Source organism: Homo sapiens, chromosome 2 (genome assembly GCF_000001405.40).
Source record: "Homo sapiens chromosome 2, GRCh38.p14 Primary Assembly".
Lineage (NCBI taxonomy): Eukaryota > Metazoa > Chordata > Mammalia > Primates > Hominidae > Homo > Homo sapiens.
Genome location: NC_000002.12, coordinates 231,594,314 through 231,615,851, shown reverse-complemented (window position 1 = coordinate 231,615,851; position 21,538 = coordinate 231,594,314). Strand labels below are relative to the sequence as shown.

Sequence of the window (21,538 nt, the reverse complement as noted above, 5' to 3'; positions counted from 1 at the left end):
TTTCACTATGTTGGCCAGACTGGTCTCCAACTCCTGACCTCGTGGTCCGCCCGTCTCGGCCTCCCAAAGTACTGGGATTACAGGCGTGAGCCACCGCGCCCGGCCAGGACCAAGACATTCTCATCCTGGGATGGTTGGGGATGGGGACTGGTGTGCTGCCTCTGAGAGCAAAAAAGAGGGTCGAGAGGGGAGGCGGCCGAGACACAGGGACACCTTAAAGAGCAGGCAAAGCTGATCAAGAGGACACCTGGAGGAAGGGCCCTTCCAGAGCAGCCTGCCCGTTCCCTCATGACTGGTTAGGCCAGGGAGCTGGCGCTCAAAGCTGCCGACGGGGCATTCCCTCTCACTTGGCACAGCAAGACAGCTCTGGGTCTCTGACCCTTTGCGGATCCGGGTGTCCCTCCTGCTTCGTCCTCCTCCCACCCGCACCTCCAGATCTTTCCCCACCTGAAGGCATGGCTGCCTTCTGCCGGGCTGTAGGAAGGGCGCCACCTGGGATTCCAAAAACCCCACAGAGGCAGGCACCTTTCCCCAGCCTGAAGCACCCCATGCGTATCTGGCTTCTCCTGCAGGGCAAACAGCGTTTCTTACACTTTTCCCGCCAGCATAGCCAGGCAATAGCTGGGAGGCCCCCAGGCGCGCAAAGTCGCAGCGCGCGGAGACACAAACTGAACTCAACCCGGCGCGGGCAGGATCGGTGGCGGACGCGCAGTTCCCACGGGCACGGGGGATCTGAGAGGGTCCTGGGGCTCTTGAGCTTGACCTCACTCTCAAATAATCCCCCCACAACTCCCTCACCCCGCCCTGCTCCTTTCTCCAAGGCCTCTCTTCGGTTTATCTCCACTTCCTTACTGACAGCGGGAAGGGGGTTAAGGGAGCACGTAGTCGTCCCCCAGCCGTGTCGCTTTCCGCCCCCGGTTGAGCCCACTTTCCCGTGGAGGGGGGAGGTGTTTCCGCCCGGGAGCTGCTGCGCGCGGTGATCACACGGAGGTCTCCCGGGCGCGCCGGGCCACGTGCGTGCGCGCGCGCGCGCGGGTTCCCCCTCCTTGGTGGACCAGGCCTCCCAGGGCCCCTACTGCCCCATCTGCCCCTTGGTGAAAACGTGAAGCCTTTTGCAACTGCGAAGCAGAGGAGACCTCTGTCCTTTCCAACGTACAGCCCCAGGGAAGGACTCAGGGCGCGGGCAGCGCCTTCGCGAGATGCCGAAGCGCGCGGGCCCGGTGACCGTCAACTTTGCGCACAAATGTGGGGCTGGGAGGACGCAGGTCCTGGAGGCGGGGACAGTGGACAGAGCAGCGCGTCTGGAGAGAGGGCTAGGATCCCTGAAACAGGACTCGGGGGCAGCCGGGGCAGGGGAGGCTGGGGGCGGGGAGGCGGCTCGCCAGTGCTCCAATTGAGCCCTGGAAAATCCCAGGCGCGCAGGGAGAGGCGGGCCGCTTCGCGGGCAGGCCGGGGACGGCGGGAACAAAGGCGGCCCGAGGCCGGATGCAGTCATGGAAAAACCCATCGGGGCGCCTGGGTGGGGGCGGCGCGCTCCCGGCAGACTCGCCGCCCTAGCAGGCCGGCCCGGGCGGGGCTGCTCTCGGCCCCCGCCCCGGAGCGCGCCTCGCGGAGCAGAAAAAATCCCTGGCGGGGAGGGGGCGCTGGTCTCCGGGACTGGGAACCAGAAGCTCCCACGTTCCAGATGCCGCGCACCGCGTGCTGTCGGCCGCGAGGGGCGAGCGGCCCGGGCTGGTACCCGCGGAGCACACCCGGGGCTGCACACGGCCACCTGGTTGACTAGGGGAGGCCGGCATCTCGGGGGCGCGCACAGAGCCAGGCGCGGACGCCTGTGCCGAGTTGCGTCTGGCCGCCACCGGCTCCTGCACACACATGATCACTTGCACGCACGTGCGCCCACACACGCGAGCTGCCTACAGCTCTCAGGGCAGAGGGAAGGAAACGGTTGGACAGAGGGGGCCGAAATAGATGTTCGTTAGGGCGGGTCCCTGGGGCTAGATACAGAACCTCAAGCTGGGGGCGGGGGGCCTTTGAAGAAGCTACGGTTAGGCCCGCCCCCCATTTTACAGGTGCAGGGACTGGGCCTCCCCGGCGGACGTGCCCAGGTCCCGCCCCAGGGTTAGAATTTCCCTCCGGTGAAGGACGCTGCCGGCCCAGATCCTGGTGCTGTAAACCTGGCTGGAGCCGGGGAGGCAGCACGACGGGTTTTTTCTATAGAAAAGGAAAGTGTTGGCTCAGGTTGGACCCAGTGACTCGAGGCCTTTTCCAGTTCTGACTTTTTATGAAGAAGGAACTGGGCCCAGAGGCCATAAAAGGAGTTGGTAGGAGCTGAGAGAAAACCTTGGTGCCTGTTTTGGCCTCAACCACAGGCTCTTCCTGGTTCAAATGTCCCATTGTTTATTCGTGCTGCTGCCTACCGTGGGGTGTCGAGGAGCAAAGCCTGACCCCGCGGGGTCCCTGGGGTGGGGAAGGGATGTCAAGCAGGACAGGGCTGCAGAGGGGGCTCCCGGCTCTGCCCAGATGGGGAGGGTGTGGGATGGGTGGCTGATGGGGGTCCCTGGAAAACAATGAAGCAGGTGCCCAGGCTTCCAGAAAGTTCAGGTTGGAGAAGGGGCAGCTGGAATTGTTGCTGGAACACAGTGGGGGAATAGGTTGTGGTGTTGGCCACGACTCAGAACATAGGATCAACGGGGGGCGGGGGGGGAGACCCCGCTAGGCAACAGGGCCAAATGAGCTAGCATTTGCTTGTGGTCCCATTAGGAACTGACCTTGGAAGCAAATGACGCAGCGCTGCCTGTCCCTAGCCTCTTGATCTTACCCAACATCTTTGGGCCTCAAATTCCTCATCTGTAAAATGGGAGCAGGCACTCCTCCACAGGGCTGGTTTGGGAATTGAAAATGGGTATATGTAGGTTTCCGTCCCCCCTTCCCTTCTCCCTCCCAGTGGGGCAGGGACGAACTCCCACCTCCACTCAGCATCTCCCGCGTTTTTGCCACTTTTCAAAGTCTCTGGTGCCTGCTCCCCGGGACTCCTTCCAAGGCCTGGTTTCTCGCGAGCAGGTTGTTGGGGGGGTGGTGGGGGGTAGGTTCAGTAAGAGGAAGGCTGGGGGAGCGGCGCCCCCTGGTGGCCAGTTGCAGGAGAGCCTGGACGGGCCCTGGGGACAAGTCCAGGCTAACCTGGTTAGTGCCGGATGGCGTCTGGCACGTGAGAACCTCCCAGGGGCTGACCATGGGGCTCCACTCAGGGAGGCTTCCCTTCTGACTCACTTTCCCCGTTGAGTAAGCAGAGAGAATGCTGGTTCCCCACAGCAGCGTTTCCTCTGCCTTCTCATGGCCCAGCTTCTTTGGCCTCAACAAAGAAGGAACTGTTGAGGCCAAAGTTCCTGCCCAGGAGGAATGAAGGAACCTGTTATTTATACTGTGCCTTGCAGTTTCCAAAGCCCTTCGACGCACATTACTTGTCCTGAGGTGCGCTGCGGCGCTAGACGGAGAGAGGATCCTGGTTCAGACCAGGGCTCCAGCCCCAGGGGTTAGTTGGGATTCTGCCTCCTCCAGCTGTGTAACCAGGGTGACCTTCAAAACATTGACTAACCAGTAGGACAGGCATCGGCCAATCAGAACAGACCCTGCCACAAACACTAGGTTTAGCCAAATGCCTGTGTCCTGGCCGAAGAGTCTGGAATAACCCCCACCGCACAGGGCCTCAATTTCTCCATCTGCAGTATGGGATAGTGCCGGTACTAGCTCCACCTCATAGGGCTTTAGATAAGTTCATGCACGGAAGGGATTTGCAAACCAGGGACTGGCCCACAGATAACATCCCAGGAAGCACCAGCTTTGTTACTTGTCCTGCCTCCTCTCTGCCAGAGGTGAGTCACAGACTTAGTGACTCAGGGTGGCTGCCACTTTTGAGGGAGTCTCCCCAACTGAGTCCTCTGTGTGCAGCTGAGCTCACCTCCTGCTCCCTCAGGACCTCCTTCTTGGGAGCAGCCTCACCTATCCTGAGGCATCCATAAACCCCTGTGGCTGAAAGTTTTCTCTCTGACTCTGGTCCTGATCCTCCCCATGCCTCAGACCTCCCCTCTCTGCTGTCCCCTGAAGCCCCCCTCTCCACCCCACCCCAGCCAGACACTTCCCACAGCACGTCTCTCCCAGAGCCTGCCTGCCCTCAGCCCACCTCCTAGCCTAGAAGCCCAGAGCCATCCTGCCCCAGCCTCTCTCTGCCCCAGGGCAGCTGCTTCCCCCTCTCTGAGCTCCAAGGCACCTCTCAATGTCTTGCCCCTATTACACCAACCTCCCATCTGCCCGCAGCCTCTGGCCATGCCCCTGTCCTTGTCTCTGGTGCACCCGCTGGATTTATCTCCCTAAAACACAGGCTGCAGTACTCCCCGTCTCAAAAGCCTTCAGTGCCCCCTCCTGGCCTTCCCAATCCAGCCCGCACTTTATTCGTCATCACAGTTACCATTTACTGAGCGCTCCCCACCTTTCTCCTGTACCAAGCGTTTTATATGTGTTATCTCATTTAATCTTCCTGCCCCCCCAACAGCTGGCACATCTATTATTATCCCCACTTTGTAGAGGCTCAGAGAGTTAAGTATGATAACTTGCCCAAGGTCACTCAGCTAGGGGGAGGCAGAGCCAGAATTCAGCCTCACACCACCTAACTCCCCAGTCTTGTTTGGCCATCTGAGGGGCTGCTCTCTGAGAGAGCTTTCTCCTGCCTTTTTTTTTTTTTTTTTTTGAGACTGAGTCTTGCCCTGTCTCCCAGGCTGGAGTGCAGTGGTGCAATTTCAGCTCACTGCAAGCTCCGCCTCCCGGGTTCAATCAATTCTTCTGCTTCAGCCTCCCCAGTAGCTGGGATTACAGGTGCCTGCCACCATGCCCAGCTAATTTTTGTATTTTAGTAGAGACTGGGTTTCACCATGTTGGCCAGGCTGGTCTCCAACTCCTGACCTCAGGTGATCCACCCGCTTCGGCCTCCCAAAGTGTTGGGATTACAGGCGTGAGCCACTGCAACTGGTGTCTCCTGCCTTTCTGGGAATTTCTACCTCCTCATTTTGCTGGCCCCTGGGGCTGGCTGCTTCAGACCACTGGCCCTCCACCCTCACACTTGCCTCCTCCTTCCCAGCCTTGTCTTAGCCTGGAATGTACCTTCTCTTACCTCCAATCAAAATCTTCTTCCATCCCAGCTGGGCTTAAGGGCTGCCTCTCTTTTAACCCCTGCCCACTTCCTGCTGTCTGTTACGGGTTTTTCGGAGGCCCTTGAGTTATTCTGCCCTCTAGAAGTGCTTCTTAAACTTTACCATTCATTAGGATTTCTTGGGGATCTTGTTAAATGGCAGATTCTGATTTAGTAGGCCTGGGTGGGGCCTAGGATTCTCCATTTCCTACAAGCTCCCAGCTGGTGCGGATACTGGTCTGAGGACCACACTTTGAGAAGCAAAACCAGAAGATCAGGCCTAGCAAGGTGGGTCACGCCTGTAATCTCAGCGCTTTGGGAGGCTGAGGTGGGCAGATCACTTGAGGTCAGGAGTTCCAGACCAGCCTGGCCAACATGGTGAAGGCCTGTCTCTACTAAACATACAAAAAACTTAGCCCAGCATGGTGGCGGGCACCTGTAGCCCCAGCTACTCGGGAGGCTGAGGCAGGAGAATCACTTGAACTCGGGACGAAGAGGTTGTAGTGAGCCGAGGTTGTGCTACTGCACTCAAGCCTGGACAACATTCTGTGTAAAAACAAAACAAAACAAAACAAACCCAGAAGATCATAGCTAAAACAGAAGCATCAACTCATCAAATGTTCATTGAATACCTACTCAGAGCAAGGCAGTTGGGGATCCAAACAAGTCCAAGTGCTGGACTCCAGCTCCTAAACAGCAGACAGGATATTGCACAAATGCAGGTTAAAGCTAATGTTCAGCCACGTGCAGTGGTGCGTACCTGTAGTCCCAGCTACTCGGGAGGCTGAGGTGGGAGAATCATCTGAACCCAGGAGTTTGAGTCCAGCCTGGGCAACATGAGACCCAATCTCTAAAAACATCCCCAAAACAAAAAAAAACTAATGGGAAAAAAAACAAAACAAAACCCAAAACCTTACACCCATTCCATAGAACACTTCCAGAAATACTTCCAGAAATGCTCATGTGCCGAACAGCAGGTATTTCATGTGATGAATTCATTTTCTGTCTGACCGCCAGTGATGGCTTGAAACAGGTAAAGATTCCATGCTGGGCGCGGTGGCTCACACCTGTAATCCCAGCACTTTGGGAGGCCGAGGCGGGTGGATCACCTGAGGTTGAGAGTTTGAGACCAGCCTGACCAACATGGAGAAAACCCATCTCTACTAAAAATACAAATTAGCCGGGCATGGTGGCGTATGCCTGTAATCCCAGCTACTCGGGAGGCTGAGGCAGGAGAATCGCTTGAATCAGGAGGCGGAGGTTGCAGTGAGCTGAGGTTGTGCCATTGCACTCCAGCCTGGGCAACAAGTACGAAACTCTGTCTCAAAAAGAAAAAAAAAAAAAAAGATTCCATGACTGCCCTGCTTAGAACCATCTGACGCTCCCACCTCACTGACAATAAAAGCTAGATTCTTCTAGATTCTTCCTCAAGGCCCTGCATCCTCTGGTCCTGCTTCTTTTTTTCTTTTTTTCTTTTTTTTGAGACAGTCTCACTGTGTCACCCAGGGGCATGATCTCGGACCACTCTAACTTCTGCCTTCCAGGTTCAAGTGATTCTCATGACTCAGCCTCCCAAGTAGCTGGGACTACAGGCACACGCCACCATGCCTGGCTAAATTTTTTTTTTGTATTTTTAGTAGAGATGAGGTTTCACCATGTTGGCCAGGCTAGTCTCAAACTCCTGACCTCAAGTGATCTGCCCTCCTTGGCTTCCCAAAGTGCTGGGATTACAAGCATGAGGCAACCTCCCCGGCCCTCTGGTCCTACATCTCACCTCATCTCCCGTCATCAGCTTCACTTTTGTTCCCTTGAATCCAACACCTCAATTTCCTTCCCATCCAAGAGCCTTTGAACTTGCCTGGTTAATGTTCATCTTTCAACTTATCGAGGAACTGGCCTCTGATTCAGACGTGGCTCCTCAGAGAGACCCTTCTTGACCCAGAGGAAGTTTGTTCTAAAGCAGGTGCCCCCAGCCACAATCAGATTCTCTGTTGTATCATTCTGTGGTATGATGTTTAACGTCATCACATTAAATTTTTGGTTGCTTTTTGCCTGCTCATCTGCAGGCCTGAGCTCCATGAGGGCAGGGGTGTCTGCTTCATTTTGCTTTACCGTCAGCACCCAGAACAGCATCTGGTGCATAGTAGGCCTTCAGTGAGGATCTGCTGAATGGATGACTGTTACAGGGCATTTGAAGAGGTGGGAGGCGCCCACAGGTGCCCCAGGTAGGAGAGACGTGGCTTCGTGGAGGCAGGTCAGCTTTCCTAGAAAGCCAGCTCTGAGAGGGAGACTGCCAGGCAGGAGGTTCATCAGGGAGTGCTCCTGGGGTCAGCATCTCCGGGGGAAGGCACAGGAGGGGCAGAGGGAGAACTTGGAAGGCCCTGCTGACCCCAAGGGGAGCTCTGGAGCAGGGATGGTCTTGTATTACTCTTTATTATTATTATTATTATTATTTTTTAATTTGAGACAGTGTCTCACTCTGTCACCCAGGCTGGAGTGCAGTGGCACAGTCTCGGCTCACTACAACCTCTGCCTCCTGGGTTCAAGCAATTCTCCTGCCTCAGCCTCCCAAGTAGCTGGGATTACAGGCACACACCACCACGCCCAGCTAATTTTTGTATTTTTAGTAGAGATGGGGTTTCACCATGTTGGCCAGGCTGGTCTCAAACTCCTGACCTCAGGTGACCCACCCGCCTCGGCCTCCCAAAGTGCTGGGATTACAGGCGTGAGCCACTGCGCCCGGTGGGTCTTGTATTATTGTCCTGAGTTGAGGCAAGAGGGCTGGATCTTTCCACCTGCCTTGTCACTCATCAGGATGCCACTGCTCGCCAGTCATTGAGTGAACCCAAGAAAGGGAGATGTGGGCTTTTGAGAGGCATTTCTTCCAGTTGAGGCCATCTCTGGAGGGATCTGACAGCGGAGGGCCATATTGTCTGAGGCCAGCAGCCCTGCAGTTCTGTGGGGCATCGGGCATCCCAGCAAGCTGCCCCCCACGTGGCACTCAGACTGGAGGGCAGGATTCAGACAAGCTGGAAGAGAGCATAGGGCATGCAGGGACCCCAGCAGAGACTGGAAGGGGAGTGGACATGGCCTGACTCCAGGGTGGGGACAAACCCAGGTGGGCCAAGGCAGAAGTTCCCTCCTCTGGCTCTCCGAGGGCAGAGTGAGACAAATCATGGGCATGATGTGGACTCTAGGAGGCCACAAACATGCCCTTGACTTTTGTTCTTATATATTGTTTTAATGTTGATCAGTGTCAGATTCTCATCTGTCAGCTGGTACATTTCACCTTAGGTAGACAGCCCTGCTACATTTTCTTCAAGAGCAAGTGTTCTTCAGCTGAAAATAGGCAGGCAAACTTCCAGTGCTGGCAGGATTGAGCATTTCTGGAAGCGTTTCTGGAAGTGTTCTGTGGTCTTGGTCTTTGATGGGAAAGTACTGGGCAGCGTCCCCTAATATCTAGTGGACCTCTCTGAAGACGCCCTGGACGTCCAGCCTGTGTGGAGTGGGCGGGTCAGAGAAATCCCAGGAACTGGCCAGCAGATGGACCTTGAGCAAGGGAAGAGGTGCACGGTGCCCAGGAAAGAGCCTGGCTTGGTGTCCTGGACTTGCCATCCTGGCCAGCTTCATGAGCATATGACCTGTGCAGTCACATGGGTCCCATCCTTAGTTTGATGGTCTTCTGACATTGTCTTGAAATCCTTCATAATTTTTTTTTTTTTTTTGAGACAGAGTCTCACTCTGTCGCCCAGGCTGGAGTGCAGTAGCATGATGTTGGCTCACTGCAACCTCTGCGTCTAGGGTTAAAGCGATTCTCCTGCCTCAGCCTTCCAAGTAGCTGGTATTACAGGCATGCACCACCATGCTTGGCTAATTTTTGTATTTTTAGTAGAGACTGGATTTCACCATGTTGGCCAGGCTAGTCTCGAACTCCTGACCTCAGGTGATCCACCCACCCCGGCCTCCCAAAGTGCTGGGATTACAGGCATAAGCCACCATGCCCAGCCTCTTCATAATTTTTTTTTTCTTTTCTTTTTTTGACAGAGTCTCCTTCTGTCGCCCAAGCTGGAGTGCAGTGGCACAATCTCAACTCACTGCAACTTCTGCCACCTGGGTTCAAGCAATTCTCCCTGCCTCAGCCTCCCAAGTAGCTGGGATTACAGGCACCAGCCACCATGCCCGGCTAATTTTTGTATTTTTAGTAGAGACAGGGTTTCGACACATTGGCCAGGCTGGTCTTGAACGCCAGGACTCAAGTGATCTGCCTGCCTCGGCCTCCCAAAGTGCTGGGATTACAGATGTGAGCCATTGTGCCTGGCCTCTTCATAATTTCTTAACAAAGGGTCTCAAATTTTCAATTTGCACTGGGCTCCACAAATTACGTAGCTGGGCCTGCTCAGCAGCTCTGGTTCCTGGGCCCAGGACTGTTTTCTGAGGGATTGTCTGGGAGAGACTGGGGAACCTAGGTGGGACGTGGGCTCGGGTGCATCCTTGGACAAGTCCTGTAGTCCCTGCGCATCAATGTCCTTGTGCATGAAACAGGGATCATGGTGCCTGCTCCACCCAGACAGGAGAGGACATAGATCTGAGGCTTTTCCCAACTGCAGTAGGCGCCCTGGTGGTGGAGAGTCTGCAGATCTGGCAGTGGAGAGTCCCTGCCCTGGAAGCCAGGCTGGAGCTGCTTTTTCAGAGATGCCAGATGCCTCTCGCACTCAGACCCCCTGGTCAGGCTGTCAGAAGGCAGTCACTGACTGTTGAGGAGAGACGCTGCTATTCACAGGGATGGGCAGATGCCTCCCTGGGCCAGACGGACAAAGCATGCCCAGGCTCCTGGGTAGTCAGTTGGTTTGGATGTCAGTGCTTGGCCTGTTGGGCTGGGGGAGGTGGTGGCTCCCTGGAGACAGATCGTGAAGGGCCTGGATGTCACCCTGTAGTGACAGAGTGCTACTGGGGGAGGAGCCTGGGAGAAGCCTGGGTTGGTGGCATCACTGGGTCTGAGACCCAGTCACAGCGCCCCACGTCTTGAGCCACTGCCACTGGCAGGCCTGGACCAGCTCTCAGGCCCAAATTTAGGTCCCTGCTTTATCTTAGCACAGCTGATGGCCCTTCTGCTCCTGTAGCATCTTGTTTCTCTTACACCCCAGGTTGGAACCTCATCCTCTCTCCTCTACGGCTGATGCCGCCTGCCTCAGTTTACCCATGTATTGTCACTTTCACTCGTGCATTCACCCTCAGTCGACAGGGCTGGGGCCTGTTTCCCACACCGTCCCTCCATCGTTTTGGAACAAGTGTCCATGCATTTTATTCTAGCATTGCGGCCCAGAGGTTACGTAGCCCATCAGCTCACAGGGCTTCGGGAACAGGTGTCCAGGCGCTCGATGTCAGGGGTTCTGGGTGCTGGAGGCGCCTGGCAGCTCCCAAGGATCGGTGCTTGTCCTCAGTCCCATGAGAAGGCCATGCTGAGCGCCTACTGTGTGCTGAGGGCGGCGCTGTGGGCCGGGCTGCCGCACACAGAGGCCCCTTTCTTCAGGGAGTTTACTCAGGAGCACGTTTATAAATAGGACAAAGCCCGGCGGGCCAGGGGCCTCCCAGGCAGAAGTGGGGAGAAGGCCGGGCGTCCTCCTGGAGGGTGCCGCCCCGCCCCGCCCGGGCCCGCAGCCTTCCGGGGCTGAAAGGGCCTCTGTGTCCCGGCCCCCGCCTGCCCCGGGCCAGGAGCGCATTTCCTCAGCTGCGCCAGACCCTGGAGGCTCCGCAGCCCCTCTGGGGACAGACACAAATAGTTCCCGGCCCAGCTGCCCGGCCAGTTGCCTTGGGAACCAAACTCAATTGTCTGACGTCACTGGGCCGTCGCGCAGCAACCGGCTCAGCCTCTCCCTCCCCGCCCAGGCGTTGAGGTCACGGTCGCCATGGAGACGGCGGGGCCGGGCCTGCTGGGCCGGGCCTGCTGGGCCGGGCCTGCTGGGCCGGGCCTGCTGGGCCGGGCCGGGCTGGGGCTGGGGGTGCTCGGCCGGTCTTGCAGGCCCCGTCGGCCACCCGCGCCCTTGGTCCCGCCTCGGAGCCTCGGCCCCAGCTCCGGCCCCGACACGGGAGCTGCTCTTCCCTCGCGGAAGCGGTGCCGCCTGGCCCGCGGCAGCGCAGACGCCCTGCCTTGCCCTCAGGCTGGCCGGGCCGCCTGTGGCCGGAGAAAGCCCCATTGTGGCCTGAGTGCGCCCCGCAGCCAGTCGGGATTTCTCTCGCAGAGAGAGGCCTTTGTTCGCCTCACCCCATCTGACTGCCCCGTGCTCTGTCCCAGCCTCATTTGCTCCCCAAGCCCCAACCTGGGTTCCTGCTCTGGCAACAAGGAGCAGGTGGCAGCAAGGGGCGTTTTCGCGCCCCTCCCCCTAATCACCCAGGAAATCTCTGAGCTTGGCCACCTGCCCTGGGGGAGGAGACGCGAGGCCTGCGCACCCCACTCTGCTTCATCCCTGGTTGCTCTCCCCACTCCTGTGGCCCCTCCGCCGGCGTTTGTGCTGTGTGACATCCCTCTCCTCCACCGCTGCCTGGGGTTGGGGGCAGTCGGGGCAGTCAGGCCAGGCCAGGCCACCCCTGGGTGAAGAGGGCATTGGGGCCAGAAGGGTCTGCACTGACCACCTCCAAGTTTCTGTTCTTAGGCTGTTCCCGCCGCAGCAGAATATAAAGTGCTGAAGCCAGAACCCAGACTGGGACGCAAGGCCCAGAACCTGCGCAGGGGCCACCGGCAATCGGCCACCATGCCCCTGCCCTGCTGTGCCTCGACTTACCCATCTGCTGCTGGGGTAATCCTAACCATCTCTTACTGAGGGACCCTGAGTGCCTTGTTCAAGTTCAGTGTGGTGAGCCCATTGGTGGGAGGTGTTTTTCCTCCCCAAAGACTGTATTTTGAAAAGTACTAATAAAATACAGGAGGTGAGTAGCCAAGGCAGAATTTTAGGTGAATTCTATTTCCTCATTGTTTGACATTTAAAATTTAGAGATGCAAAGGAATATATTTGAATCCATGGGGTTGGGGGGATGAGTACAGAAAGATCTGAGTGCCTTGCTCTTTCCAAAGCACGTGTTTAAAGGAAGGTTCTGGTTGTGTGCAGGGCATTCACAGGCAAGTTTGTGTGTTGTGGGAGGCATACCCCGGGTCCCAGAACCTAGGTGTGGGCTCTGTGTGGCATTAGGCAAACATCGGACCCCATCTGGAGTCCTGGCCTATTTTTGTGGGAAAGGCAACTTTTATCTGCTGGGGAACCTTCAGATATAGGAGGGATGGGGGTTAGGACAGTGTCCCTTGCAGTGGGGGACTTAGGGGAGCCACAAGGGACAGGCTGCTTTGGGCCCCTCCTTCCCCTTTCTGGGAGCAGCCTGCTCTGACAGGATCCAGGCTGGGCCAACCAGGGTCCTTCCCCCTAGGATTGATCAGATCCAACAGGGGAAACCGAGACTTTTCCTCTCTGGTTTATCAAGGAGCAGCCTGTGGGCCTGGAGTCTCCAGGAGCCACGGTCCCTGCAAGGAGCAGAAGCCTGGCGGAGAGAAAGAACCTCCATGGGAGGTGGAGGACAAGTGATGGGGACAGAGTACTGGCAGCAGGGAGTTCCTATTCAGCATCCTCATAGCCAGTTCCTCTTAGCCCTTCCTTACCTCGCCCGTTAATCCGGTTTGTGCCTAAGCTACTACATGCTGGGTTTCTGTCACTTTCAATTAAGAGGCTCCTCACCAATACACAGATCATGTGGAAAATCCCAGTAAAGGAAAACTGACATTTGTCAGATGCCCACTGTTAAATGCTGTTTTTGAAAAATATGCATTATTGCCGGGAACAGTGGCTCACGCCTGTAATCCCAACACTTTGGGAGGCTGAGGCAGGTGGATCACCTGAGGTCAGGAGTTCAAGACCAGCCTGGCCAACATGGTGAAACTCCATCTCTACAAAAACACAAAAATTAGCTGGGCATGATGGCCGGTTCCTGTAATCCCAGCTACTCGGGAGGCTGAGGTGGGAGAATTGCTTGAACCTGGGAGGTGGAGGTTGCAGTGAGCTGAGATGGCACTATTGCATTCCAGCCTGGGCGACAGAGTGAGACTCTGTCTCAAAAAAAAAAAAAAAAAAAAAGCATTATTGACCACAGCATCTCTGTGAGGCAAATGGAAGAACCACTTTGCAGATGAGGAAACACTTTTTTGTGTTTGGAGACACTAAGGGCCACAGTGTCCACTTGTGCAGGACTCCACAGGGTGGGCCAGCCTGCTTCTAGGCACGGAGTCAGTGGGCCTTGCCTGTCCTGAGACCCCTCAGCCAGACTCTACCCATGAAGACCTTTGCTCTGTGTCTGGGTCCTTCCTGGAGGACTCTGGGCCTTCTGTGGTCTGAGTCTTGGAGCACTGTTATATTGCCGTGCTGTTCAGCTCTGGCAGTCACTCCAGTTGGAGGGTCTATGCCCCTCTGTCCTTGTGCCCTTTTTTCCGCTTTCTTTAAAAAATGTTTAAAAATTATTTTTTATTTTATTGTTATTTTTATTATTATTATTTTGAGACAGGGTCTCACTCTGTCACCCAGGCTGGAGTACAGTTACGTGTTCATTGCTCACTATAGCCTCAGCCTCTTGGGCTCAAGTGATCCTCCCCCTCAGCCTCTTGAGTAGCTGGGATTACAGGCATGTGCTGCCACACCTGGCTATTTTTTTTTTTTTAAATTTTGTAGAGATGGTGTCTCGCTATGTTGTGCAGTCTGGTCTCGAACTCCTGGGCTCAAGTGATCTTCCCACCTTGGCCTCAAAGTGCTGAGATTACAGGTTGAGCCACCGCGCCCTTGGGCCACCCTAGTATGGGCCGGTGGTGCCTTCCCTCCAGCAGAGGGCGCAGTCTGTGTCCTTAGAGACTCTGGAAGCTCAAGATCAAGTCAGTCTAGGAAATAGGGCTACCTCTTAGCCTGGGGAGGTCTTTCGTTTAAATAGTTAAATACGTACTTAAGTACTTCGTTTACCTCTACACTTTATCACATCCTCCTTGGGGGACTGTCCTATGTGTGAACTTTGTTTTGGAGACACTCTTTTCCCTGATAGAAGCTATACCTCACCCAGCCAAACCTATAACCTAGACTACAGTGGCATAGGAATTTTAACCAATTAGCCACGGGCCCACAGACTAAACAGAAATATTTTCCTACACTCCTGCCAGCAGAGGTGTGTTGACAAGATTTAAAAAAAAAAAAATTATCCTTACAAAGCAAGTACAAACACTGACAAAGATTTGGTTTCTTTACCATTCTCAAAGTTGCCTTAAATTTTTAACTTTAAAAAAAGAGAGACATTAGAAAAAAATCTTTGATGTTTTTCTATGTTTTGAATCCCTCCCACCACAACACATCTCAGATGGGAGAAATTAGCAGCCTATGGTGATATCTTGGGTTCCCCAGAACGCAGGCCCTGAGCCAGGGTTTGGTACACGGGATGTTTATTTGGGATCACGCCCTGTGAAGAGGAGCAGAATGAAGACAGAGTTGGAGAGGGAGAGGTCGAGCCTGTAGTGCAGGCTCAACGACAGCCCCAGCCAGCCCCGCGGGAGCTCTGGAGCTGCGGTTATCCCAAGCTGGGTCAGGATGGTCAGACCTCAGACCCCTGCACAGACCATTGTGGGGATTGGGCCACCTGGGACCTCACCACCTTGGGTGAGATGCTCTCTGCAGGAGCTGAGGCTGAAGGCTATCCAACAACAGTGCTCCCAGCGGCTGGAGGAGCAAGGCCTTCTTTGAGGGGGTCAGGACAGTCCAACCTTGGGGTGGAGGCCGGCTAGGCTGGGTGTCCCTTCTGATGTCTGCCAGGACTTGTTGGTGCCCTCCCCTTAGCCCATCCCCTGCTGTGCTCAGGCGTTAGGACACTGTGCCTGCCCTGCTGGCTCCTGGTCCAGCCTCCATGCCTATTGGCTGGTGCAGACCTCAGCTTACTTGGCCAATGTCTCCTGGCAGAACACACCAAAAAGATGGCTGTTGATCCTAGAGAAATGCTGATTGTTTTCAAACATTAACCCTAACATATATAAACAAGAAGTCACTGAGAACCAGGCTCCCTGATTTGTTGAGTGAGGAAATGCAAGGCTTTGTAGGGCTGAATTTATAGCTTTGTCATACCTCACTTCTCAACACAGAAGAGACCCTACACACAGCCATCTTTTTATTCTATTGCTCATTCTTTATCCCCTCCTTCTGTCTCTATTAACTGCTTGTCCTCAACAGTTAATAGTGCTCCCCGCTTATTCAGTTTTCATCCATTGCATGCAGTGGACCACATGGGGCCTTTGCAGGGGAGGGAAAAGTATTCCCTACCCTCTTAGGTTCAGTAGCTGGGCCTGCAAAATAATTGGACAAATGACAGATTAACAGGAGAAAAGGGCTGGGTGTGGTGGTGGCTCACGCCTGGAATCCCAGCATTTTGGGAGGCCAAGGCAGGCCAATCACTTGAGGTCAGGAGTTCAAGACCAGCCTGCCGGACGTGGTGAAACTCCGTCTCTACTAAAAATACAAAAATTAGCCAGATATAGTGGTACATGCCTGTAATCCCAGCTACTTGGGAGGGTGAGGCAGGAGACTTGCTTGAACCTGGAAGGTGGAGGTTGCAGTGAGCTGAGATTGTGCTATTGCACTCCAGCCTGGACAACAGAGTGAGACTCTCTCTCAAAACAACAAAAACAAAAACAAACAAAAAAAGACAGATAAAAGACATACACATTTTATTTCATGTTAAAAGTTTTGTTTTTTTTGTTTTTCAAATCGGGTGGACCCCTAAACCAGAATAGGTTCAGCGTGACTCCCTAATGTTAAAAGTGTTACCTGGCATGGGGGAGGTGGTGGTGCTTCATAGAAGAGAAACCCCACAAAGCAGACTTGGTGGCTTTATACCATACTAACAAAGGATGATAAATTTGTGGAGAAGTGACAAGGCAAAGGAAAGTGGCTTCTGAATGTTTTAGGGGTAGTAAGCTGTGGGAAGGTAAACATATGGGGGACACTATGGTAGATAGGGCTATTTAGTAAGGCTTGTCTGTGTAGATGCTTCTCAGTGCCATCTCTCTCTCCAGTGATAAGGCCGTTCTCCCCTTCCTGGTATGGACAAGGTGAGGGGGCTTCACAAGGAAATGTACACCCTGTTTTTCAGGCAGAAAGGGAAAGGGCAGAAAGCTCATCCTGTCTGCTTTTTCTCAATTGCCTTCAGCTCAAATCATCCTTATGCCAAAGTGGCATATTTTGGGGGTGGTCCCCTATGCCTTCAAGCCCAGGTCCCCATAATGGGCCAGATCACCCCCACTTGCCGACTGCTCCTGTGTTTTGTTTTAGGAACTGCTTCCTCTTCTTCTCTTGCCTGTGGGATGGGACCTTTCCCCAAGCTCCTGTCTCTGGGCTTTTGCTTTCTCACTCTACAATGTCTTCCTCAGCCATCCATCCTGAGCTGGAGTGTACCCTTTCTTTCTGTATTGGACACCCCGGCCCTGAGCATGCAGCTCTGACTGCCTCCCCAGTTATGATATAGTACTTGGATCCCTGGGGGTCCCCATGTGTTGCCAGGTGGGTTTGCCAACACAACTGTTTACCCCACAGCAAGGAGGGAAGGATCAAGAAGAGCTAGCAGGGAGGGTCCGTCCAGCAGACACTGGACTGAGTGGGTTTCAAGGCAGCACAGAGTGAGTTGGCCAGTGGTGGGGCCCTGGAGACAAAGCAACCAATGTGGCGTGGCTGTCACAGCCCCCTGGGGGACCGGGAACTTGTCCCTGCAGAATGCAATGCAAGGCAGAGTTGTGTGGTTCCAGTGGGACTTCATAACTTTTCCCTGTTCTAGGCATGAGCTCTGTCCTTGTTGAGTAGCAGTGACTTCTAGGTGTTAATACTAGCCCCTCATAAACACTTTGATGGGAGAAAGTGTGCTAGCTTGCCACTTTTCTTTTTCTTTTGAGATGGAGTTTCGCTCTTGTTGTCCAGGCTGGAGTGCAGTGGCGCGATCTTGGCTCACTGCAACTTCCGCCTCCTGGGTTCAAGCGATTCTCCTGCCTCAGCCTCCTGAGTGGCTGGGATTACAGGTTCCCACCACCACACCCAGCTAATTTTTTGTATTTTTAGTAGAGACAGGGTTTCACCATGTTGGCCAGGCTGGTCTCAAACTCCTGACCTCAGGTGATCCACCCACCTCGGCCTCCCAGAGTGCTGGGATTACAGCACCGCACCTGGCTGAAACTCAATATTTCTAAAAGCAAACATGCCTGGGACAGTGGCTCACGCCTGTAACCCAGCACTTTGGGAGGCCAAGGCAGGAGGATTGCTTGACTCCAGGAGTTTGAGACCAGCCTGGGCAACATAGTGAGAAAAAACTATACAAACAAAAACAAAATAAAACAAAACAAACAAACAAAAAAAAACACCAAAAGCAAACAAAAAAAACAAACACATGATCCAGTCCTTTCCCACCAGCCTCCACTAACCCTTTCCTCATGTCCCACCACCTGTCAGGGACACCTCAAGTCTCCTAACTGCCCAGGCCCAAATCACCCAGGAATCATGTTTTCCTGGCCCCTCAATCCAGCTGGTCACCTGCAATGTCTCCTTTCCCTTTGCTTTGCCACCCCTCCCTGCCAGCCTGAGTTCCATAGGTCTGGACCATCTCCTCATAGAGCAGCCCCCACCCCCATCACCCTCCTGCACGAAGGTGGCACCATCACCACACTGCCAGGCCTTTGCCCTTCTCTCTCCAACAGCAAAGACCCAGCTCAGGTAATTGCCAATGTGCAGCTGCTGCACCCCCATGTTTACTCCCCTTGGAATGAAGTCATGAATGCGCTGGCACACAGCTGCGCAGGCCCGTCTGCAGTAGTCATCAGGCCCACATAGCACTCGACTACGTGCCACGCACTGTTCTAGGCACTTGACACATTAACTCATTTAATCCTCACAACAGTCTTATGCAGAGGTACTATTATCACTTTGTAGATGAGAAAACAGCACGGGAAGATGAAGGTGACACAGTTTGTGGGAGGGAGTCAGGATTCAAGACAGCTGGACCCAAAGGACACACTTGCTACCACTCTGCTGGTGGTGGGCCCAGCATCCCTTCCCCTAGGAAGGCCCCAATTCTGGTCTGACCCTGGCCCCAGGCCCGGTGATGAGGGATTTCATTCCCGTGGCCTCAGTGATTGGTTCAGGGGAGGGCACAGGCACCAAGCCAGGCCTGGCGGCGTCCTCCCCCAACTCTCTTGCCAGAGCCAGTGGGAACAAGCTTCTCTTTTCTCGGAAGGTGACTGAGCTGCCTGAGCACGGAGGGGGCCAGCCCCGGGGAGCCGAGCCGGAACGGCAGAGCCCTGAGGACCAGGGTGAGCCCTGGCCCTGGCCTGGCCTGGCCCACACCCGGCCGTTGTGCTGGTTGACTCATCTCTTTGCTTAATCTGGTTTGAGTTAGGTTTCTGTTCCTTCTGATGGCTGGTTCACCCTTGTGATGGCTGGTTCACCCTTGTGGTCTCAGTGTCTAGCAGTGCCGGGCACATAGTGGATGTTTAAAAAGTATTTGTTGAGGTCAGGTGCGGTAGCTCACGCCTGTAATCCCCGCATTTTGGGAGACTGAGGAGGGCGGATTACCTGAGGTCAGGAGTTCGAGACCAGTGTGGCCAACATGGTGAAACCCCAACTGTACTAAAAATACAAAAATTAGCTGGGCGTGGTGGTACGTGCCTGTAATCCCAGCTACTCAGGAGGCTGAGACAGGTGAATCGCTTGAACCCAGGAGGCGGAGGTTGCAGTGAGACGAGATTGCGCCACTGCACTCCAGCCTGGCGACAGAGCAAGACTCCATCTAAAAAAAAAAAAAAAAGAAAAGAAAAAAAATTTATTGAAAGCATGAGTGAGGCTGGGTGCGGTGGTTCATGCCTGTAATCCCAGTTCTTTGGGAGTCTGAGGCGGGCAGATCACCTGAGGTCTGGGGTTTGAGACCAGCCTGGCCAACATGGCAAAACCCTGTCTCTCCTAAAAATACAAAAATTAGCCAGGCATGGTGGTGCATGCCTGTAATCCCAGCTACTCGGGAGGCTGAGGCAGGAGAATCACTTGAACCCAGGAGGCGGGGGTTGCAGTGAGCAGAGATCGCGCCATTGCACTCCAGTCTGGGCGACAGAGTGAGAATCCGTCTCAAAAAAAAAAAAAAGCATGAATGAGCACATTTTGAGGTCACCCTGGCAGCTTGATCGCCCTCTGCAGTGGGCCCCAGCTGCTCGATAGCCACCCCCCAGCACCCTCACCATGCCTGCCTTGGCTTTTGTTCTTATTGCCTCTGTCTGGGAGGCATCCTCCTTCTCTCTTTTAGGGACTGGCTTAATTGCTTCTCTGAGAATCCCCTGATTACTGGGATCTAAGTCCGCAATCTCACACCTCTGAATTAATTGCTTTCATGACGTGGGGACAGTTCCCGTTGTACCTACAGAAAGTGGCAGCTCCTGGGCTGGGCAAGGTGGCTCATGCCTGTAATTCCAGCACTTTGAGAGACCGAGGCGGGCAGATCACCTGAGGTCACGAGTTCAAGACGGGAAACCCGTCTCTACTAAAAAATACAAAAAATTAGCCGAGTGTAGTAGTGGGCACCTGTAATCCCAGTACTCAGGAGGCTGAGGCAGAAGAATTGCTTGAACCTGGGAGATGTAGGTTGCAGTGAGCCGAGATGGCGTCCCACTGCACTCCAGCCTGGGTGACAGAGTGAGACTCCATCCAAAAAAAGAAAAAAATTGGCAGCTCCTGGAGGGAAGCAGGTATGCACACCGGGCTCATCTTTGCATCCACCTTGGGGCCTGGTATCACCCTTCCTCATGTGAGCCTTCTGCATGGTGGGGCGGGGCTGGTGACATGGGTCACTGATGCAGGCCAGGTGGGCTGTGGTGGACAGTGAGCACATACACCCTAAAGCAGGCAGTTCTGCTGCCTGGGGTCCTGAAGAAACGAGGGCCCTAGATTTTCCCAGAGAAGCAGAAATCCAGATTTTAATGCAAAATCTTTTTTTTTTTTTTTGAGATGGAGTCTTGCTCTTGTCACCCAGGCTGGAGTGCAGTGGTGTGATCTTGGTTCACTACAACCTCCGCCTCCCAGGTTCAAGCAATTCTCCTGCCTCAGCCTCCTGAGTAGTTGGGATTACAGGCGTACACTGCTAAGTCCAGTTAATTTTTTTGTATTTTTAGTAGAGACCAGGTTTCACCATGTTGGCCAGGCTGGTCTCGAACTCCTGAGCTTGGGTGATCCACCCACTTCGGCCTCCCAAAGTGCTGGGATTACAGATATGAGCCACCCTGCCCGGCCGTAAAATCTATTTTTTAAATGCTAGCGATTAGTTTACAATTTGAGAAGCACTATGTAGGTCAAACAACCCATCAGTTGGCTGGCTGCGGCCCCAGGGCTCCCATTTGGAGACTCTGCTGGGAACCAGGAAGGACTAGTGAACCATCTGTGGCCAGGGCCGCACATGAAGGCATGCAGGTGAGAGCTGCTGAGGGCACTTGGCTAAGGGTGGGGCTGGAGCGGACATCCAGCAGGGGCATCACTCACCAGGTCATACCACCGGGTGCTCCACAGGGTCTAGCCAGAGGGTGGGCTGACAGCTTCCGAAGCAGATGGCTGCCCCGTCGCTGCACTCAAGGCCGGGCCTTGCTAATGCTTTCCCAGATGCATATCTTCACAGACAAGAGTAAATACCACGTAAAGAGACCTGGGTCTAAGGTGAGCAACTCATCCTAGTTTGCCTGGGGTTTTCCGGTTTTAAATATGAAAGTCCTACAACCCAGAAACCCCCTTAGTCTGAGGCAAACCAGGACAGTCGGTTTGCTTAGACTCCTGCTCCCTCTGCACCCCCAGCTCACCGGAGGATAATGATAATGGCAGCCACCATGTGTGGGCTTATCAAGTGCCAGACACCATGCATTATGGCCTGCATCGCTTCCCTTCTGTCTTATAACAGTGTCATGGTATGGATTTATTCTCTCCTTTCTACAGCTGAGTAGGCTGAGAGTGACGTGATTCGCCCAGGGCAAGTGCTGGCGCTGGGGTTTGAACCCACATGGTGTGACTCAGTACTGTCAACTGCACTGCCTCTTCTGCCTCTCAGCTTGAGCCCGCCAGGCCAGCCTAGGCCCCTGGGAAGGCTCCTCAGGAGCTTACCTGGGTGGAGGTTCAGTAGGGATGGGTTTTTGCAGGTCTGAGACACCCCCCGCCACACTGCCTCCAGCTCTGTCCAGGTTCTTCTCTGCACGTTTGCCCCCAGCCCCTGAATGGGACAGCCTGAGAAACCCTCAGGGGACGCTGTTTCCACCGCACCCCGAGCCCTCCTGTCCTGTCACCGTGTTGC

General features: G+C 54.6%; 2 long non-coding RNA genes across 2 annotated transcripts, besides 16 other annotated features; both read right to left on the bottom strand.

Annotated features, from left to right (window-relative positions):
* Positions 804-883: an enhancer, noted in NCBI's record as "active region_17297". NCBI's record gives its function as "activates an Ori minimal core promoter by ATAC-STARR-seq in GM12878 lymphoblastoid cells {active_cell/tissue: GM12878}" and the evidence as "EXISTENCE:reporter gene assay evidence [ECO:0000049][PMID:35858748]".
* Positions 804-2,127: a biological region, named in NCBI's record as "NANOG-H3K27ac-H3K4me1 hESC enhancers GRCh37_chr2:232478436-232479082 and GRCh37_chr2:232479083-232479728".
* Positions 820-1,114: an enhancer, noted in NCBI's record as "tiled region #2469; K562 Activating non-DNase unmatched - State 10:DNaseD". NCBI's record gives its function as "activates a minimal TATA promoter and a strong SV40 promoter by Sharpr-MPRA in K562 cells {active_cell/tissue: K562}" and the evidence as "EXISTENCE:reporter gene assay evidence [ECO:0000049][PMID:27701403]".
* Positions 835-1,480: an enhancer, noted in NCBI's record as "NANOG-H3K27ac-H3K4me1 hESC enhancer chr2:232479083-232479728 (GRCh37/hg19 assembly coordinates)". NCBI's record gives its function as "activates a minimal SCP1, AML or CMV promoter by ChIP-STARR-seq in naive H9 embryonic stem cells {active_cell/tissue: H9 hESC(naive)}" and the evidence as "EXISTENCE:reporter gene assay evidence [ECO:0000049][PMID:30033119]".
* Positions 1,284-1,663: a silencer, noted in NCBI's record as "silent region_12434". NCBI's record gives its function as "represses an Ori minimal core promoter by ATAC-STARR-seq in GM12878 lymphoblastoid cells {active_cell/tissue: GM12878}" and the evidence as "EXISTENCE:reporter gene assay evidence [ECO:0000049][PMID:35858748]".
* Positions 1,481-2,127: an enhancer, noted in NCBI's record as "NANOG-H3K27ac-H3K4me1 hESC enhancer chr2:232478436-232479082 (GRCh37/hg19 assembly coordinates)". NCBI's record gives its function as "activates a minimal SCP1, AML or CMV promoter by ChIP-STARR-seq in naive H9 embryonic stem cells {active_cell/tissue: H9 hESC(naive)}" and the evidence as "EXISTENCE:reporter gene assay evidence [ECO:0000049][PMID:30033119]".
* Positions 2,128-2,773: an enhancer, noted in NCBI's record as "H3K27ac-H3K4me1 hESC enhancer chr2:232477790-232478435 (GRCh37/hg19 assembly coordinates)". NCBI's record gives its function as "activates a minimal SCP1, AML or CMV promoter by ChIP-STARR-seq in primed H9 embryonic stem cells {active_cell/tissue: H9 hESC(primed)}" and the evidence as "EXISTENCE:reporter gene assay evidence [ECO:0000049][PMID:30033119]".
* LOC105373928 (uncharacterized) lies at positions 2,267-4,086 on the bottom strand. Its single transcript, XR_923987.2, has 2 exons — positions 2,967-4,086; positions 2,267-2,880 (listed from the first exon to the last, which is right to left on the bottom strand). It is a non-coding gene; the product is annotated as an uncharacterized LOC105373928 (long non-coding RNA).
* Positions 2,494-2,543: an enhancer, noted in NCBI's record as "active region_17296". NCBI's record gives its function as "activates an Ori minimal core promoter by ATAC-STARR-seq in GM12878 lymphoblastoid cells {active_cell/tissue: GM12878}" and the evidence as "EXISTENCE:reporter gene assay evidence [ECO:0000049][PMID:35858748]".
* Positions 2,554-2,643: an enhancer, noted in NCBI's record as "active region_17295". NCBI's record gives its function as "activates an Ori minimal core promoter by ATAC-STARR-seq in GM12878 lymphoblastoid cells {active_cell/tissue: GM12878}" and the evidence as "EXISTENCE:reporter gene assay evidence [ECO:0000049][PMID:35858748]".
* Positions 2,774-3,420: an enhancer, noted in NCBI's record as "H3K27ac-H3K4me1 hESC enhancer chr2:232477143-232477789 (GRCh37/hg19 assembly coordinates)". NCBI's record gives its function as "activates a minimal SCP1, AML or CMV promoter by ChIP-STARR-seq in primed H9 embryonic stem cells {active_cell/tissue: H9 hESC(primed)}" and the evidence as "EXISTENCE:reporter gene assay evidence [ECO:0000049][PMID:30033119]".
* Positions 2,774-3,563: a biological region, named in NCBI's record as "H3K27ac-H3K4me1 hESC enhancer GRCh37_chr2:232477143-232477789".
* Positions 3,314-3,563: an enhancer, noted in NCBI's record as "active region_17294". NCBI's record gives its function as "activates an Ori minimal core promoter by ATAC-STARR-seq in GM12878 lymphoblastoid cells {active_cell/tissue: GM12878}" and the evidence as "EXISTENCE:reporter gene assay evidence [ECO:0000049][PMID:35858748]".
* Positions 8,408-8,608: a silencer, noted in NCBI's record as "peak4081 fragment used in MPRA reporter construct". NCBI's record gives its function as "represses an SCP1 promoter by STARR-seq MPRAs in K562 erythroleukemia cells {active_cell/tissue: K562}" and the evidence as "EXISTENCE:reporter gene assay evidence [ECO:0000049][PMID:32103011]".
* Positions 10,699-10,988: a silencer, noted in NCBI's record as "silent region_12433". NCBI's record gives its function as "represses an Ori minimal core promoter by ATAC-STARR-seq in GM12878 lymphoblastoid cells {active_cell/tissue: GM12878}" and the evidence as "EXISTENCE:reporter gene assay evidence [ECO:0000049][PMID:35858748]".
* Positions 11,119-11,418: a silencer, noted in NCBI's record as "silent region_12432". NCBI's record gives its function as "represses an Ori minimal core promoter by ATAC-STARR-seq in GM12878 lymphoblastoid cells {active_cell/tissue: GM12878}" and the evidence as "EXISTENCE:reporter gene assay evidence [ECO:0000049][PMID:35858748]".
* On the bottom strand, positions 17,970-21,426 carry LOC124906122 (uncharacterized). Its single transcript, XR_007088120.1, has 3 exons — positions 21,352-21,426; positions 20,743-20,867; positions 17,970-19,009 (listed from the first exon to the last, which is right to left on the bottom strand). It is a non-coding gene; the product is annotated as an uncharacterized LOC124906122 (long non-coding RNA).
* Positions 18,558-18,737: an enhancer, noted in NCBI's record as "active region_17293". NCBI's record gives its function as "activates an Ori minimal core promoter by ATAC-STARR-seq in GM12878 lymphoblastoid cells {active_cell/tissue: GM12878}" and the evidence as "EXISTENCE:reporter gene assay evidence [ECO:0000049][PMID:35858748]".
* Positions 21,427-21,538: the final 112 nt, after the last annotated feature.